At 43.5% G+C, this 14,337-nt stretch overlaps 2 annotated features.

Moving 5' to 3' along the window:
• Positions 10,930–10,979: an enhancer, noted in NCBI's record as "active region_19722". NCBI's record gives its function as "activates an Ori minimal core promoter by ATAC-STARR-seq in GM12878 lymphoblastoid cells {active_cell/tissue: GM12878}" and the evidence as "EXISTENCE:reporter gene assay evidence [ECO:0000049][PMID:35858748]".
• Positions 12,935–14,134: an enhancer, noted in NCBI's record as "MED14-independent group 3 enhancer chr3:41137060-41138259 (GRCh37/hg19 assembly coordinates)". NCBI's record gives its function as "activates an origin of replication core promoter dependent on BRD2, BRD4, P300/CBP and CDK7 cofactors, and independent of MED14, by STARR-seq in HCT116 cells {active_cell/tissue: HCT116}" and the evidence as "EXISTENCE:reporter gene assay evidence [ECO:0000049][PMID:35650434]".

The raw sequence follows: 14,337 nt of genomic DNA on the forward strand, positions 1-14,337 counted from the left end.
TGTTGAGATGAGAAAACTGAAGTCAAGGAAGGCTAAATGATTTTTGCCGATTCTTTGGTAAGAGATCGTCACATTTTAGGTGTTGTTTTGTTTTGAGATGGAGTCTCACTCTGTCACCCACACTGGAATGCAGCGATGTGATCTTGGCTCACTGCAAGCTCCATCTCCCAGGTTCAAGTGATTCTCCTGCCTCAGCCTCCCGAGTAGCTGGGATTACAGCCACATGCTACCACGCATCACGCCCGGCTAATTTTTGTATTTTTAGTAGAGACAGGGTTTCACCATTGCCCAGCCAAGATTGTCACATTTTAAAGTCAGATTTGCCTGATTCTTGAACGAGCCATTGAATCTACTGAGTATCTCAGTGTCCCCAGAATTCTCCAGGACATCCCTGGGAGACTGAAGGCATAGTCAGGCAGAGAAGAAAAAGTGGTACAAGGAGGAATGAGGCAAAGGAGAAGTCAGGGAAAGGAGAGGAGAAAACAGAGGACCTCATGGTATGGTGTGGAACTGCGACCAAAATGATTATTACAAGCATTTCTCTTGTAATGTTCTGGAGTATCACCTAGCTGCTAAGGGAGAATCAAACTCCTTTCATGTGAAGGGGCTGAATGCTTTTGGGAAGAAAAGATGTCAAGGGTAAGACCCTGCTGTGTTCAGCTCTTCGTGCTGTAATAGGGATGGAATCGTATCTCAGATAGCAGTTCCCCATCCAGTCCCTTTCCCCCATAACACACAGGATGGCCAATGGGTGGGACAATAGCCAGAGGGAAACATGCAGGGATTCAGGACAGCCTAATAATTTGTCACACCTTCAAACCAATATTCTTTCAATATTAGTTCAATATTTATGTAGAGGAGATGAATACTAAGTGGAGGAAGAACAGAGCTTCCCACTTTTCTTTTAACCTGTTGCTGAAATGTAACTTACACATGGAAAAGTACACATATCATGAGTACTCAGTGAGTTTCCACAAACTAAACACACATTGTTACCAGCACCCAGATTTTTACAAATAATGATAACATTACCAGCATTCCAGAATCCTCGCTTATGTTCCCTCCCTGCCTCCTTCCAAGTATAACCACTATCTTGACATCAAACAGCAGAGATTAGCTTTGCCAGTTTTTGTTCTTTTTGTGGATGAAGTGATATAGCTTGTTGTCTTTTGTGTCTGACTTCTTTTGCTTGTCATCAAGTGAGATTCATGCACATTGTTATGTGTAGTTGAAGATTGTTCATTCTCTTTGCTGATTGTATTCCAGGGTGTAAATATACCACAATCTATTTATCCATCCTACTGGTGTTGGGCACTTGGAAAGTTTCCAGTTGTTGCTACTATGAATAGGGCCACTATGAGCAATCTAGAATATCTTTTGGTGAACATTTGGTAGACATTTCTGTCAGAGAGATAGATATAGACATAGACATAGATAGAAATAGAGAGAGACAAATCGTTTGATCATAGGGAAGGCACATGTTTATCATTAGTAAATGCTGCCAAACAGCTGCCCAAAGTGACTGTACTTGGTTAGACTCCATCAGCATATCGAAGAGTATTAGTTGCTCTATATCCTCACCAACAACTAGTGTTTTCTGGGGTTTTTATTTGTTTTTTCACATGTCTTTTAGCAGGGTCACCACTCCTACCCCTCCATCCCTGAACCACTTACGTATGGTTTGCCTTCTAGGAATTCTGGGAACTGCAGTTGTCTTTATTGTGTTACATTTTAATGATGCTTTAGTACTTAGCACTCTTTGTATACTGGCATTCTGGGCCAGTGCTCCCAATGGGCCATCCCTGCCTTACCCAGCTCTAGAAAACAAACTCATAGATGTAGCCATATTATCTTCCCATTGGGCTAGTTTCAATTCCTTCCCTCTGCCTCTCAAGAAAGCACATTAGTGTAAGTGAGTAGGAGGAGGGTTATCATGGGAATTACCATAAATCTGTCCTATTTTTTTTAGTAAAGCATTTGCAAGCTTCAGCCCCTTAATAATTACTAGTAATAAACTTCTTGGTCATACCTCACTGACAACACAGGTTTGCCAACACCCGGCCATGTGATCCTGAATAATTTCATTCCCTTAGCACCATACTCAGCTCTGAACAAGTAAGTGGGGTCCTTGCTCCAATCCCTGTTCCTTAGCACCACCTCCACCACCCCCCAACTCCCAGTCCCCTAAATGTTTCCAACCCCCAACCCCTATTTTGGAATGCCTTCCTCAAGGCATTCCTAAGCACACTTCAGTGTTTGGAGCCAGCCAGGGCCAGCATTACTATTTGAGTGGTATATCCTGAGCATGGACCAGAACCATGTGAGCCCCAATCTCCATTTCTCCTTTTTGAACTGCTCTCTCACCCTCTATTCCATGGATAGGGTTGCCCTGCTGTGCTGAGGAGCTCCAGGACTTGTGTTTACGGAGTGGTCATAGGGCCACCTGATGCACAGACTGTTCCACTGACTGGTGTGGTATTTCTTTCAAGAAATTTTGGCCAGGCATGGTGGCTCCTGCCCGCAAGCCCAGAACTTTGGGAGCCCAAGGTGGGAGGATTGCTTGAGGCCAAGGGTTCAAGTACAGCCTGGGCAACATAGAGGGACACCATCTCTAAAAAATAAATGCAAAAATTCGCTGGGCGTGATGGTGTGCACCTGTAGTTACAGCTACTTGGGAAGCTGAGGTGGGAGGATCACTAGAACCCAGGATTTCAAGGTTTCAGTGAGCTATGATTTGTGCCACTGCACTCCAGCCTGGGTGACAGAGCCAGACCCTGTCTCTAAAAAATAAAAACAATAAATAAAATTATAATTTTTTTAAAAAAGAAGATATCTCACAAGATTGGGCTGCCAGATGGTGCTGATACTGCTGATCTGAGGTGACGCTCACTCACATCAGACACAGGACAATGTCAGGGCTGTGGGCTACCAACAATTCAACACCAGCTCTTGACTTTGGACCTGTGCAAGAGTTGGCCCATCCACATGCCTATGCCCCTGTGTTGGTTCTCGCCCAGTCGTGTTCTGACCATGTTGCTGCCTTCCATCTGTGACATCTGAGGGCAGCAGGAAATTTTGCTCTGTACCCCATAGTTTGGACACCCAGAGCACTCACCATGCCTCCTCTACAGGCTCTGCTCCCTTTCAGGCAGTCCTCCAGAGTTGGCTGCACCTATCTTCTCCAAGGGTTTTCAAGACTGTTGTTCCACAAAGCCAATGGCCTATTGGGTCAACGTCCTTCCTTCCCATCAATGGATGTGCTGATATCGTGTTCTCTCAGGTCAGTCTTAATCCACCATACTTGGGCCTGAGCCTATCTACTGGTGTGAAAGGAAAGGGTGCAGTCAACATTCAAAGCAATCACAGTTTAGGAATATATTGATTATAGCCTAGAGAGTTCAAGAGAAGACAGGGTTGGAAGACATGTTGCATGTTGTACTACAAAATTCTAAACAGTAAATTTAACATGACCAGAACATGGAGTCTCATTCATAGTTTCCAGCATACTCTGGATAAGACTTGCACTTGTAGTTGTGATGGTTAGTTTTATGTGCCAACTCAATTAGGCTATAGACCTACCTCAGTTATTCCATCAAACACAAATCTAGGCATTGCGGACATGCTTAGCATCTACAGGCAGTTGACTTTATGTAAAGGAGATTAGCCTTGATAGTCTGGGTGGGCCTCATCCAATCAATTAAAAGGCCAAAGAACAGAGCTGAGGCTTTACTGAAGAAGAGGAAATTCTGCCTGTGGACAGCAGCTTTAGCTCATGTCCAGAAGTTCCAGGCTGCCCTTCCTGGCAGCCTCCCCTGTGGATTTAAGACTTGCCTAGCCATAGCCAGCCTCCACAATCACATAAGCCAATTATTTGCAACAAATCTCTTAATATATATACATATCCTACTGGTTCTATGTCTCTGGTTGGCCCTGACTGATATAGCAGTCATCATCAGTGATGCACAGTAGCAATCTTTGAGAGAGTCACTGGAAACCATTATTCACAAGCGGCATAGTACATGATGCAGTGTCATGAGTAATGATAAAGCCAGCATTAAATACATGGCATTAGGGAAGTGCAGAGGCAAGAAAAATCTATTTTGTTTCAGTACAAAGAGATTCCGAAGACCCATGGTATTATGAGTGTTGTTACCTGTTTCTCACAGTGGGAGATATGAAATTAACCAGGAATGGTGAATTTCACAATAAAAAACACGAAGGGATGCTTCCTAGACCTACAAAGGGGGAGACAGTGCACGGATACCACAAACTTCACGTGCACTGATAGGACAATAAACAAATGCGTAAGTACCTCTTCTCTACACATTATTCTAAATCTTTACTGATAAATCACTATGCCTTAGATGGACCTTTGAATTTTCTAATAAATGTATCATCTAATGGTCTACATAGACAGGGGCCCTGCAAAAAATATTTGTGCAGGGCTCCCACACCCTAAGAGTGATCATGCTGTATCTGTTTCCCCATTGGTAATGAAAAATTTGACTGGTTCTCCTTCAGAATTCCTTCCACCTCTAATATTCTGCTTCTTTCCCTAAGGAATGCAAAGCACCTTTCATCTAGACCTAGAACAAACTTCAGCCCAAAGAAGTTGAGTGTTTTTATTTGTTTTAAAGTAAATTCTCCCTTCACTTATTCACTCAGAGCCTCTTGCTCCATTCAGAGAGGACTTCACTGCTCCATGCTCAGACCAAGAGCATCCTTCTTGGGACATCTCCCACCTAGACTCTCATGACAGGTATATAGCCCAGGTTGAGTGTAGGTTGGGTTAAAATACCAGGCTCACATCTTCATGTCTTCATACAAAGACACTCAGCCAGGAGGCCTTGCAGGTAAATTCTGACCAGTCCTCTTATGATTGCCGAACAGAGTCACATTGCCTAAACCTGACCTTAAGGCAGTGTAACTGCTGCTGCAAGTATTTCTATACATAATACTTTGACCCATCTCTGGCCCACACACTTGTGCATGGATGGATATGTAGTGAAAGAACTGTTGGCCTGGGAGTCAGGTCCTCCAATACCAGCCCTCCTCCTAGTTAGCTCTGTGAAACTAGGAAAGCTCCTTTTCTCTCTGGACTCAGTTTCTTCATCTATAACATGTATGAGGTGGACTAAGACACTAAAGATGCTTTCAGCCCTTACATGCTGCATTTTCTTTTAATATGTAAAAGAAATTTGCAAGTAAAGTGGAAAGAATAATGTAGCACCACTTATACCCCTACTGCTCAGGGTGAATGTATATGTGTGTATGTGTGTACACTTTTAACTTGTATAGGTAATATATTCTCCTTTTTAGTAAATGAAGAAATCAAATCAAGCATCAACACCTAGGAGACTCTAAGCAGGATACACTGGCACCTGGCAAGATACAGTCATCAACACCTAGAAGGACACGTGGGTCAGGAGTTCCTAAATGACAGCCCTTGATCCTGATTGGTTCACAGGAATGATTGGTTTGACCAACAACGATTTTTAAAGGATGAATATTGATGCCTTTCAATGGAGCATGTCTATGGGGCCTGGTTCCATTAGAGCACCCCTCTCCCCAACTTCCTATTCACCGCATCACTCACATTTACATATCCCACGAGACCATCAAAGGCATTTGATTTTGTGAATATAAATTTATTATGCCTGCCTGAGAACAGAAGTAATAAGAATGTTTTCTACCTTTTCATTTTACCTCCACTATAGCTCCCAAGAGATGTTACATGGACAAGAAGGGCACAAAGAAGTTTATACTTCCTGCTCTAGATTAATTGTATCCCGATACAACACAGGAAGGACATGGGCTTGAAATGAACAGACTTGGGCCCAGATTCTAGCTCCATCATTTGCTTCTTTATCCAGAGCCTCCAATTCATTTGCCTTCCAGAGTTTCTGCAGTGATCAGCAAAACCATCTGACACAGGGGACCACACAGCGGGAACTCAATAAATGCTAATTCCTTCTCTCATCCTGTTGCAGAGTCAGCCCAAACCTCTCTCCAATATCTTCTACAGGGAAAAGATCTCTTGGGCTCACCCAGGCTGGGCTGTGGTGTGCAATTCTTCATTAAGAGATATGAAGAGCCCAGAAATGGAAAAGCTGGAATAAAGGAATGCAGAGTGGGGCTGCCTGTTTTGTTCCTTTTGCAAACACACACAAACATGATGATGGGGAGCAGCACCAGGGACATGTCAAAGATGACAGCAGCACTGGTCAGGTGCAAATTGCCCTTCGAAAAATGCCTAAGGCAGCACAGCTTTTGGCAGTCTTTTTTTTTTTTCTTTTCTAATCAAGGCAAAGATTTCTCTAAAAAAGCACATAGTAAAGGAAGCCAAAGGAATGTTAGTGCCTGTCTCTAGAAGCCACATTTATCTATTTTTAGTCCCCAGCAAAGCCCAGTACACTGTAATCAGTATAATAACATGCTGTCTTTCATAAAGACAGATGACACAGTTGACCTTCAGTCCCCATCTGGACACAGGACGTGTGCTGTGGGTTGTTTTGTCAGCTGTGGGCTTGGATTATTTGTCTGTACCCTCTCATCTAGTTTGGATCAGAACCAGGCATTTTCAGGAAGACTAGAAAATATGAGTGTGGGGTCAACTGGACCTCTGAAAAAAGAATTGGTAGATGTGAAGTCTGAAGGCATCATGGGTGGAATTAGTATGGAATTTTGCTCAAGTTACTTACTTCTGTAAAGACCTACTGGCCCCTTATACTTTGTGGAATAAAATCTTCACCTTGATCTTTTTCACCCAAGTTGGTAACTCAATGCAGTCTTCCTGCTGGACCACTTCCTCAATCTTGGGACATCAAATATATACTCTCAACCTCCTTGAACACAATAAAACTTAACTTTCTCCAGGTAGGAAGCCATGAACACTGCATATTGCACATGGGACCTAAAGACATGGGAGGAAGAAACAGCATCAGGTTGTCTCACGTGGTGAAGCTTTCAGAATACCCTCCCTTACAGGCAGCACTGTCCATCCACTTGGAACCTTCTCTTCCTACTCTCCACAGCAATCTTAACCATCTCTCTGGCTTCAGGCTGCTCTTCTTCCAACTAGACTGGGTTCATCCCACTAGATGACCCAGGCTTTTCAATATTGCATGTAAATGTTATGGCTCTTTCAGTCCCTGCCTACTCCTGAGTCATTGGTCTCCAAATCTCAATGTCATTCTGCTAGTCCTGGGAAAAGTACAAAGAAATCTCTTACCAAGCCTCATTTTCCTCACTTGTAATGTACAGATGACTTCTTAGTTCCCTTCCAGTTTGAAATCCTAGTCCCAAGAATGGCTTTTCCAACTGTGAGCAACCTGATACAAGCCTATCATCATTGGATATAATTGGGCTATATACATACAGGTAGAAACAGGTATAACTATACACAGAAGACTCATCTTTTATACATGCCATCACAACCTACAATTGTATGTAAAGACCTTAGTCATTTACATTGTAGCATTCAACCTTCACAATAAAGTTAATAAAGGCAAGGGCAGGTGTTGCCACTCAAATTCAGATCTTCTGACTTTAGGGCCAGGGCTCTCTATGTGACCCCACACTGTATCCCTGGTAAGCAGAGGCACTGGGAGCTTATACGCCTCAGAGAGAGTGGGTAATGGAGTATTCTCCCCTCTGAGTCCTCTGAGCTGGTATAATGCTATAGTTAAGATCAGGCCCTGCATCAGACTGAGCTAAATTTGAATCTTATAATTTAGTAGCTGTGTACTGTTGAGCAAGCTATTCAACTTCTCTGAACCTCAAGTTAGCATTCTGTAAAATGAGGGAATTAATAATATCACAATGGAGTTATGAGGATTTAATGAGGTAGTTCATGGAAGTGCTTAACACAGATCTAGCACATAGTGCCCCCAAAATAATAGTATTATTTAGATTAATATTGTATATTAACTTGCATTGATTCCCAAAGTATTTCCTGCCCTGTCTGTTCAGAATCATTTTAATTTTTAAAATCCAGGAGCAATACACTACTCCTAGTGGAGAACTTGAATCCAAGGTGAGATTAGATGAGCAGGTTCAGAAAGGATGTTCAAGAAACTTGATGGAAGAAAAGGTACCACTTGTAGAACTCTGTGGTCTTTCAGATTGTTGTAATGCCAGTGATTCATTATAGCCAACACAGAGCAAATCATTTGTTAATAAACAGAGCATCTCACAAGGAATGCTAACAGGTCTCTTTAAAGGAGCACCAATCCCATAAAAAGCCAAAAGTAAGAATAAATAATAGCAAGAAGCTTGACATTCAATGCAGGACATATTTCCTGCATGGGGCCTGCTCGGAACACTTAAAGGTCCATCTGGAAACAGCATCATGCAGAAGCGAGGTCTGCAGCCAGGTCAAGCCAAGCCACCTTTCATGCTGAGACCCCGACTCTTCTGAAGTTACAAAGTTCAAGGTGAATCCTCTTCCACATCCCAGATAACCAGCTGCCACTCAGGCATTCCTGATAAAAGTTCATCCAGGCTTAGAGTGAATGAAGTATTAGGGAGATAACGAAAAAGTACCCAGGGTCAAATACAATGGAATCCACTTCTCAAACCAGCCCACGACTGTTGAGTGTGCAGCTCCTATATTCTCTAGGAATCCTCTCTCAGATACATCTGGTACTTCTAAATCGGTTTCATCTTTTAGATGTATATGGAAGAGTGGAGGTTTAAGTATCTTGGGAGGAAATCTAAGGAGATACAGAATAGAACAAAGTGAAGTGCTGTGATCCAAAACTGGGGATCCCTGGGTTCTGCCTCTGCCTGTGGCTTGTGCGCTATCTATGACCCATGGCTCGCAGTTCTGATGGAGGCTGACCCTCCACCTGTGAATATGCTCAGTGGAAATGAAAGCTTCCAAGTTGGGGAGGGCAAGAAGACTCTTAAGCCTTTCATACCCTGAGGTTCTATTTCCCTTCCTTTCTCTGGTCCTCAGTTTCTTAATCTGTAAAGCATGGAGCCTAAGCAGGCCTCTCTAGACCATACATGATATGCTACAGGTCTTCTTGAATCCAAGGGGTCATCAGACATCCTCTTTCTTCAGCCTAGCTCTGGCCTTAAGCCAATTCCTGCCCACCTTTTAAAAAATGTGCCTGTGTCACTGACTACCCCGATGTTCAGCTCTGGAGTTGGAAGTAGGATCTGATCATAGCATCCTCAGTGGAAGGCATTTACCACATGACATATAGATTAACTCTGGGAAGACATGCTTAGCACCAATGGCACATTTAGTCTTTCCTGGGCAGAACCTGACAAATCTAACCATTTCTGAAGCAGGGCCTTATACTCAGGGCGACCCACTGGTTTATCATCCAAATAGGGATACTTCTGAGAGTGACAAGGGTCACTAACGGCTATTAATTAATTAATATTAATTAAATGACTAAGGGGTATTAATAAATACACCTGAACCACAGGACTGTCCCAGGTATCCTAGGACTTAAGGTCATCATACTTAAACGTATTTATGGAGGAGAGCCTGTGATAATTTCATCATTAGCCCAAGACAAGAACAGATGCCCCAGTGTGGACATGCATGGGGTCAGATTTGGTTATCACATAGGCCTGAGGACACTGCTGGCATTGAGCTGGTGGGCATCAGGGATGCTAAATGTCCTGCAATGTACAAAATAATCCCACACAACAGAGAATTATCTGGCTCAAAATGGCCAAAATTTCCCTACTGAAAAATACTGATATGGTGGGATAAGAATAATTGTAAACAATGATATAAAACGCAGGATGACAACTTCAAATGCCTTCAGGGCCAGTCAGGAATTGGAAGATCTATGCCCCTTCTTAAGGAGTTTAAATTTAAGTCTTTAAAACAATGCCAAACAATTTCCATCCATATGCACTAAATTTGGCTTTTGGCCTCCAGATTGTGGACTTCTAATAGACATTTACTGATCAGAAATTATGTCTATGTTATATTAAGTAAAAACGAAAAGCTACAGCGTAATCCCATTATATGCGTGTGTGTGTGTGTGTGTGTGTGTGTATGCATTCTCTCTTCATACATATATAAGGAGGGAGAAGATTCCTATATGTATGTATGTCAGTCCATACATGTATGTACATATGTGTATGTACACCAAAATTCTGGAAGAATATAGAATGAAATTTAGAGTGACAAAGAGAGTAGATGACCTGAAGTATAGGTATTTTCCCCTTTAAAGTTTTCCATAGCCATGGACAAATATGAACATTTTTAGCAGCTATTGGCAACTACTTATGATGAAGGCCCCCTGGGAATAGTCTATGAAAAGAAACAGCAGCCACAACTCTAGGGTCTGTGCCTGTGATTGTCATCACATCCCAAATGATTTTTCCTAACCCTCAATCAGACTTCTGATGGGCATAAATCCACACCCCTGGGCTCAGCCTGTTGACCCACAGGAATTAGAGCAATGTTGAAGGGTGGGGTGCATACTGGTGGGGAATGGGAGGGAACTGGTTGCAAAGGAGCAAACCATTCTCCACTCGCATGTTATACTGTGAGGAAAACACGTGCCCAGGCCACCAAGGCAATCATTTCTGGGCTCGAAAACAGGAAGAAATTCACTAAACACTATGTCGCCAACACAAAGAGTGGAGAAGATTTGCCAAGAGTGCAGTCCTGTCTTGACCGGGACATCAGCATTAAAGGCAGGACCCACTGCCAAGCTCATGATTTCTGAAGCAAAGGGGCAGCCACTTGCCTTAGGCCTCCTCTAATGGCTCTCAGATAATCTTAACTTGGGCCTGTAGATGACAAGGGGTCACTGGGACTCTTTTCCCATTTACGTGGGAGGAGATGACTTTTCTAAGCCCCTCAACCTCCATGATTTCCCCCACTCTCATAACAATCCTATAATGAGCTGGGCCCCTTCCATGTACTAACTCATTTAATCCTAACAATAACCCTATGAGGCAAGCATTACTGTCCCCATTTTACTGATGAAGAAACAGAGACTCAGGGAGGTTAAGTCTCACAGCTAGTCAGTGTCAGGTTTCAAGTCTAGACTTGTCAGTGCCACAGCCTTTAACTTCCTGTGTTCACCCACCATTGCACACCTTCAAGGAGCGGCAGACAGAGCTGAGGTAGGTCCTTCATGGGCAATGTAACCATTGCAGCTAGCGCTACTTGAGGAAAATGTCCAAAGACACAAGGGGCTCTGGAACTGGGCCTTTGGAGACAGGACGTGGACTGACCATCCAATTGATCTGCTGTGCCACTGACCCAGAAATCAGCCAGAAATTTCCTCGATAATGTCTGATAAAATTAAAGAGCAACGGTAGTGAGAATTGAATGTGGAGAAAGTGATCACTTTCTTTTTTCTTTTTTTTTAAAACGGAGTTTTGCTCTTGTTGCCCAGGCTGGAGTGCAGTGGCATGATCTCGGCTCACTGCAACCTCTGCCTTGTGAGTTCAAGCAATTCTCCTGCCTCAGCCTCCAGAGTAGCTGGGATTACAGGTGTGCACCACAACACCCAGTTAATTTTATATTTTTAGTAGAGACGGGGTTTCACCATGTTGGCCAGGTTGGTCTCAAACTCCTGACCTCAAGTGATCCTCACCCACCTTGGCCTCCCAAAGTGCTGGGATTGCCAGCGTGAGCCACCGCGCCCAGCTGGAAGTCATTACTTTCTCTGAGTCTCAGATCCCACCCAACTTTGTGAAATCACATATTACTTATCTATTGCTGTGTAACAAACAACCTCAAAACTAAGCAATCAAAACCCACCATCATTCACTCAGTTCATGATTCTGTGTATTGGCAATCTGGGCTGGGCTCAGCTGGATAGTCCCTCTGCTCTTGGCTAGGCTCCCTCGTGTGCCTGCAGGTCAGTTGTCGGTTGACTTTGCAGATGGTCACTGTGCTCTCTCACATTTCTCAGGCCTGCCCTGGACAGCTGGGCTGACTGGGCTCTGGTTTACTTCGTCTCTCATCATCTAGCAGGCCAGCCTGGGTTTGCTCACATGACTGGACAGGTTTTGAAGAAAAGTTCACAAAGGCTCCTTGAGGCTTAGACTCAAGAATTGACATTGACACTTTTGCCACTGCCTATTGGCTAAAGCGAGTCTTAAGGCCAAGGAGTAGGGGAATAGACTTCACCTCCTGCTGGGAGGAACTGCAAAGTCATATTGCAAAGAGGCATACTTACAGAGGGGAATAATGGTGGTCCTTTTTATAAATAACTGTTATTTATTGGCTTGACATAAGTGTAACTGGTAACCACTTCATGCTTTTCCAAGATGGTCCTAACTACTGCCCCTTCCTATTCAATTCAGATTGTCCTGGAGAAACTTAACCAGGTGGAGGCTGACACCCAATCCCCACCCCATCTCCACCCCATTTCCTGCATATTGTACCTAATAGTCTTCTTCAATTCTCCTGGAAACTGTAGCCCAAAAAGATAGCCCTCCTATACACACACTCAATTAGGGTGAGAGAGCCCATTGCCTTACCTTTGGGGGACCTTGTCTCAGCTGGATCCCAGTCTATTTCTCTACGCACTCATTATTTTTAAAAAAGCATTTACGAATACCTTTCACCTATCACATATAGAATATGCCTATCAGTATTCTAGTATTTAAGAATATAAGGAAAAAACTAGATCTGTTTCTGTCCTCATGGAAGTCACAGACTATTTCTCTAGGGAGAATAGACACAAACAAATATTATCTTCATTTCACAAATGACATGAGGCCCACCATCACAGAGATGATATGGGACATGACCTGGATTTGAACTCAAGCAGGTCCCCTTCATAGCCCATGTGTCTATTAACCACCATACTTCGCAGCAATAGCAGGACCAGCCTTTGTAGTGTAATTGGGTAAAGGCCAAATTATGAGAGACTAAGGAATATTTGGGAGGTAAGGAGCAGAACTATAGGAATGTCCCTGCAGAGTGATAAAGTGTGGGAGATGCAGAGAGAAGGGAAACAGGCAGAGCTCTTCCCGCTGCAGACTTGCTCTGAGGGCTACAGAGAAGGTGGAAGCCCACTCCCTCCAGCTGAAACTTGGGCTCACACAGAGGCCTCAACAGGGTCCTAAGAATCGGGCATGGTTCCTTTCCTCCTGCCAAAGTCATTCTCCTAGCGTTCAAAGTAGTCTTCAAGGGAAATCTTACTGCTTTCCCCAAGTGCCAGACAATATCAGCTTCTTCAAGACAATAAGGAGGTATGTGTTGGCTCTCTGGAAGTGTTCGCCCAGTGAGCCAATTTATATTCATTGTGATTCAGCAATTATTTACTGCATTCCCACGGGTGTAGCGCCAGCTGGAGTCAGACTTGGTAATTGTTTCCCACCTTATCCTCAGCAATTACATTCCAGCTGATGGTATGTACACCGATATAAATTGTTCACCAATAAACACGTCTCTTAGGAGCCTTATTTATCTTACGGAACCTTCATGAAATAATCATACAGATTCATCATGCCATATTCTGCCCATAGACTTTATAGGGGATCCCCCATTAACTTTAATGGGGAAGTTTGTTAGGTGTCTTTTTCCCCTCCCTTGGCATAGATCAAAATTAGTGCATGGCCAATAGACCACACATTTTTCAAAAGATCTCCTGGGTCGTTCCTGCCCACCTCCTCAGTGACTGCAAGAGTGTCTTCTCTTCTTACATTTTGCCTTCTCCACAGTAGATCAACTTCTGCTATAGGCCCACACTTTGTCCTCAGCCCCTACTTCCCAGTACGTACTGACCTCATGCTGGGAAAATATTCCTGCCTTAAAACTCCAGTATTCTTTCTCTCCTTCACCCAGTGTCTTCCTACTCACTTTTGCCAGTATAAATCTGTCTCCACCATTCCCACCTAAAATCATGGCCTTCTGTGGGTGCTTCCAGCTACTGGATGCCCCTTTTCCCTTGGGTTCCTGCCATTTCATACTCACCAAAAGTTTCTGATCCTGCAGGCTTTTGTCATCAGTTGGAATATGTCACTTTCAACATTCTGATTTTCTGCTGATTGGTTGGTTTGTTTTGGAATTGGCTTTTGAATTAGTTAGAGGAAAGGTTAAGCCACGGTAATAAAAAGACTCCCAAGAAGCTTTGGCTTTAAAAAGCTTATATTTTCTCTCTGATGTAACAGTCCTGAGTGGGTGAGCAGCTTTGCTTCACGTGGTCATCCCAGAACCTCAGTTCCCTCCACCTTACTGCTCCACAGTCCTCGGCTGTATGGTCAAAGCCAAGTCACAGGCACATCTAGCACCTGTGTTTGAGCTTATGGGGTAAGGAAAGAGGAATTCCAGAAAAATGGCTTTCCTTTCATGTGACAATCACCTGGAAAGGACACTTCCACTCACCTCCCCTTGGC

This window comes from Homo sapiens, chromosome 3 (genome assembly GCF_000001405.40).
Source record: "Homo sapiens chromosome 3, GRCh38.p14 Primary Assembly".
Taxonomy (NCBI): Eukaryota; Metazoa; Chordata; class Mammalia; order Primates; family Hominidae; genus Homo; species Homo sapiens.